Below are 5,807 nucleotides of genomic sequence, written 5' to 3'. Positions count from 1 at the left end.
TCAACACTAACACTTAACAATTGGCTATTCTGGGCAGGTGTGGTGGCCCATGCCTGTAATCCCAGAACATTAGGAAGCCGAGACTGGAGGATTGCTCGAGCCCGGGAGTTTGAGACCACTCTGGGCAACATAGTGAGACTCCCTCCAGCCCACCCCCTGACCCCATCCCACCCCCACCCATCTTTACAAAAAACTTAAAAGTTAGTCAGACATGGTAACACATGCCTGTGGTCCCAACTAGTAGAGAGGGTGAGGTGGGAGAACTGCTTGAGCCTGGGCGATGGAGGCTACAGTGAGCTGTGATCACACCACTGCACTCCGGTCTGGGCGACAGAGCGAGATTCTGTCCCCCCACCCTGCAAAAAAAGCCAAAAAAAATTGGCTATTCCTTCAACAGGGAAGCACTGCAAGTCAATTTCAACAGCTGTGGCTATAGAATCCCATTACAGAGAAGTAGGAAGCAATTAACTGACAGCAATAATATAATCAGCCACCGCAAGGTCATGGATTTACAGGAATTTGCTATTCATCCACGTTATAAAAGCAAAGACAAAAAATGTGAGTAACAAAATGTTTGCCATGCTTGCAAGAGACAACAGGAGCTATTAGCAAAATACATCGATTAATTTTCTACTTTAAGATTACTTGTTACTAGTGAACCAGAAAGCATGCAATAGTTGCTGTCTACGAAGAGGATTTGCTTGAAGGTTTATCTAGGACTGATTCACCAAAAAGTATTTAATTATAGGTTCAGAAAACTTAATGTTTTCAGATACTTAGAAAATGTTTGACTGACAACAACACAAAATGAGTAAGATACAGGATAATTAACAGAGCCAACCCTTGCTAAAACGATGAAAGTGAACTAGCCATCCACCTACCCACCTCCTAGCCCTACCCCCCAACTTCTCCTCCCATCTCTACTCCCAGCCTTTATTCTCTCCTGACTTCTTCTCAAGTTTAGTGTCATTTCCTGCCTTCTCTAGGCATGGGCACAGACCACTCCCCAATCTCTTCTTATCAAATGTGTCAGGTTGATTTTTGTTTTTGTTTTTGTTTACTTTATATTGAAGTATTGGTACTTGTGACCCCTCCTAGTCTCTGATCTTCCATACTGCCAAGGTAACGACTATCCTAACTTCTAACACCATAGATTTGCTTTGCCTGTTTTTGTATGTGTTCTTTAGTTTCTGGTTTCTTTCACTCAACATTAGATTTGTGGTAGTAGATTACTCATCCAGCTGATGTATAGAAGTCCATCGTGTGAATATACCACAATATATTTACCTATTCTACCCTTGATGGACATTTGGATAGATTCCAGTTTGACGCTATTATGAATGGAGTCACTGTGAACATTCTAGTTCATGTCTCTTGGGGAACTTAATTTATAGATTTCTTTAGATTGAAACCTAGGACTGGAATGGCTGGGTCGGAGGGCATATGGACATTTAGCTATAATCATTTTCCAAAGTGGTGGGACCATCCTACAGATGTTTAATAAGGATTCACATTCATTCATAAAAACCTGAATAGTCTGCACAGTATTTTCAAAAGAAGCAGATCTAGAACCCAGTTCTGATTCCAAGCCTAGTGCATTTTCCATCCAGTAGATTCCAGGTTCTTCTATCCTACTTTCTTCTCCTCAATACTATGCTGCCTTTTCCCTCTAAAGACTCAAGAATGAATAGCTAGTCATTCACGGGGCATTCTCCCCAAGGTACTTGTTGCCTTAAAGAGGGTCAGTGGTAACTCCAAAGAGCTCTAATTGTGGGACTTTCAGGTTTCATAAAAGATCAATCTGTAGAAAGGAACTAGAGAGGAGAGAGAGGGAGATAACTTCAGTCACAGGAAAGTACTTAACAGAGTCAATCAAATCCAAGAGGGCCATTGATCTGAATAGAGCCATTTGTGATGAAACACAATAGAAGATAGGAAGCTCATCTTTTATCATGTGAACCTCAGGGCAAACATGCTAGAAAGCTATTGAACCCTGGCCTCCTCAAATTGATACACAGGAACAAAAGGGAAGCCTCAGATGTCAAATTCTCATGTCTGCGCCCAGGCGGCCAGAAGCAGGAACCGGCTCCTGGTTTCTTGAGGGTGGCCTGCATGTGAGCCCAGGGTGTGACAAAATGTAGCAGAAAAGACTGAGAAGGATGACGACGAAAATGAAGCTCCAGCCTCCTGACTACCCCTCTCAGGTGTGCATCTGTTTCCAATTCCGTATTACAATTAAAGAGAATGATTTTTTATTTTTTTTAATTTTATTATTATTTTACTTTAAGTTTTAGGGTACATGTGCACAATGTGCAGGTTAGTTACATATGTATACATGTGCCATGCTGGTGTGCTGCACCCATTAACTCGTCATTTAGCATTAGGTATATCTCCTAAAGCTATCCCTCCCCCCTCCCCCCACCCCACAACAGTCCCCAGAGTGTGATGTTCCCCTTCCTGTGTCCATGTGATCTCATTGTTCAATTCCCACCTATGAGTGAGAATATGCGGTGTTTGGTTTTTTGTTCTTGCGATAGTTTACTGAGAATGATGATTTCCAATTTCATCCACGTCCCTACAAAGGACATGAACTCATCATTTTGTATGGCTGCATAGTATTCCATGGTGTATATGTGCCACATTTTCTTAATCCAGTCTATCATTGTTGGACATTTGGGCTGGTTCCAAGTCTTTGCTATTGTGAATAGTGCTGCCATAAACTTACGTGTGTATGTGTCTTTATAGCAGCATGATTTATAGTCCTTTGGGTATATACCCAGTAAAATGGGATGGCTGGGTCAAATGGTATTTCTAGTTCTAGATCCCTGAGGAATCGCCACACTGACTTCCACAATGGTTGAACTAGTTTACAGTCCCACCAACAGTGTAAAAGTGTTCCTATTTCTCCACATCCTCTCCAGCACCTGTTGTTTCCTGAGAATGATTTTTATATATTTAGATACTTTCAGTGTCTGGATTTGAATATAGCTGAAGTTAAGGGTACTAATTAATTGTGAATCATTCCGATACTTGAATATAAAACCTCTCAAGCCTAATGTGCAAATTTATGTAAAAACAATGTGAAATTAGAAATGCATTGGCACTTTTTTTTAAGCAGAACTGTAGCACTCTGTCTAGTCAAACAGACTGCTCATTTGCAAGTTGTCTATATGCAAAGCATTCTGCCCCTGGGAGCCTAAAATCTCCTTAGAAAGTCATCTGAAATTTGAGAAGAGCTTTGTTCTGAACCTGCTTTCTGCTCCCTTCACTTTTCTTCCCTGCTTCCAGCACTGTGAGCAAAAAGCCTAAGTATGGATCACACCTGGCCAACCCAGAAGCAGCCATGGCCCAAAACAGGAGGCCTGCCCTGGGAAACCCATTTGAGTTCAAAGGAGGGTGTCTAAATATGCTTGTCTTGAGCCCTGTGCATTGGGCCTTGCACTGCAGCCTTCCAACTTTAAGAGAAATTTCAGAATCCAAATCCTTCCCGCCTGCAGGGCTCAAATTTTCCTTTGCAGATCAGACCTGGTGAAGAGGCTATTTGCCGTTCAATCCTAGGCTAGCTTTCTGCCTTTCACCTAATGTTTGAGGTTAAGAGAAATCAGAAAAGAGAGACCGTAAACTGATCACCACTGCATGGGCATCTGCCTCACCCACCTTTGGGAGTTGGGGGAAGAGCCAGCCACAGGTGCTCAGGTGCAGGTGCCCAGGTGTGAGCGGCTAGGTGCAGATGCTCAGGTGTGGCAGCAGGGAGTGCACTTGGCTCATCTGCCCTGGGGAGGGCCAGCTCCCGACAGAAGTAGGCCAGAGGTCAGTCCCAGGAAATGCTTGGAGCAGCCAGCAGGGTAGGGCCAAGTCATGATACACCTAGGAGTGGGAGGGGAGGCCTCTTTGGATATTACCTGGTTTATCATTTAGCTGTTGGGGTGGGGAAGGAGGTGGGAAAGACAGAAGGCTCTCCCAGGAATTGGCAGGCAGCCAGGTCAGGGACAATGGCAGCCCCCACTTGTGCTAGAAAGGCAGGCAGGACGTGACCACTCAGATAGCCACATCAACAAGTACAAATCACGGTTGCCCTGGAAGGAAATGGCTCAGGTTTTTCCCAGTAGCTCAATGCCTAGGCACCCCCACCTGTGGTTTGGGCATTTCACTCTATTAGCTCTTCTGCTCAGTGGCCCATTCTGCTAGCCACAGCTCACATTTACTCCAGTTATGAAAAAGGTTAATTTTCCCATATTGAGTTTCTCTGCAAAAGCTGCTTTCAGTTGTGACCGGTAAGTTCCGTTGTCACCAATATGGGTACAACTGTTGTCACTCTGCTATTCTGAAGCCATGATACTAAAAGTGTGACCCCAGATCAGTGTCATCGCCATCAACTACAAGCTTGCTAGAAAGAAAACTCTCCCTAGACTTCCAGAATCAGAATTTGCATTTTAACAAGGCCCCCAGGGGAATCCTGTTCACACTGAGTTTTGAGAAGCTCTGTTCTAAGATATTACTCCAATCCCCAGCAAGCCAAACCGACCACTTTCTTCACATAATCAGAACGCTCGGTTCCAGTATTTCCAGATACCAGCCATAGGAAAACACGTTGTTCTCTCATTTCCCTTTAACCTTATCTAAAGCACTCAATTTCCTCAACCCTTAAGTCGTCATCTGTAAAATGGGAGTGCTAATCCTACTTAATTTAAGATGATTAAGTTGAATAATAAATTAGAATTTGTCCTACAAATTGTGAATCATGATCGGAATATTCAATTTTATTATTACTCTGTGTCCTAACTCAATAACTGGGTTATAAACTCCTGAAAACAGGACAATCTCTTCTCTACCTCTTTCTTTATCTTCCCTGTATACTGAAATACAGCGTTCTGCCCAGCATGAGGTCGACTATTTGACATTTACAAAAATCTCTCTTGGAATCCCCCTGCCAAAAAAAAAAAAATCGAATTTCAATTTATGACTCCAAGCACAAAGAGATCCTGTCACTTTGACCTAATTCTCTGAGGTTCATCCCTCTAAATAATTGTATTGTCTCCATCTATAAAGTACTCTGTTACTATGACAACGCACACATAATTGCATGTGTAAGTAGTTGAGGGTGGCTGTGCAAGTCAGACTCCTTTCCACCAGGAAACACAGAAAACATTCTATCTTCCCAAATGTTACTCTCTCAGATTTGCACCAAGACCCTAGAAGTTTCTTAAATTTCCATATACTTTATGGACACTACAAAGCAATTCCAGGAAACACTGATACAGTAGCAAAACTACTGGGAGTGGAAATTGGATGGAGATCTGGGTCCCAGTTCAGAGTCTGACACCTGATTTGCAACATAATTAGGCACAGGGCACTCAACTATTCAGGGCCCTAAACCCTTCTATTGAAAGGGAAATGGGAGAACAATATGTGTTCCTATGGCTCAGTCCCTATAAGATTCTGTACTATTCAGAGTTGATTTTAAGTGTCACTTAACTGAAATTATCCAACAAACCTTCATGGCATGAAACATTAACACAGCTCTTTTTATATGGCATGGTTCCTATGGCTCAATCCCTATAAGATTCTGTACTATTCAGAGTTGATTTTAAAAGTCACTTAACTGAAATTATCCAACAAACCCTCGAGGACATTAAACATTAACGTGGCTCTTTTTATATGGCATGGTTCATTATCATGCCAATAAATGATTAATCGTAACTCTCTGTCTTGACCAATAATTTTGCTGGACTTTTGTGATTCACAACGTGCTCTGTGTTGTAATGCTACCTCTTGAAACTGACATCCTAGCTTTATTGTTTTTTATT

Source organism: Homo sapiens, chromosome 13, assembly GCF_000001405.40.
Source record: "Homo sapiens chromosome 13, GRCh38.p14 Primary Assembly".
Lineage (NCBI taxonomy): Eukaryota > Metazoa > Chordata > Mammalia > Primates > Hominidae > Homo > Homo sapiens.
The sequence above is the reverse complement of the archived record's forward strand: the minus strand, read 5'-3'. Positions refer to the sequence as shown.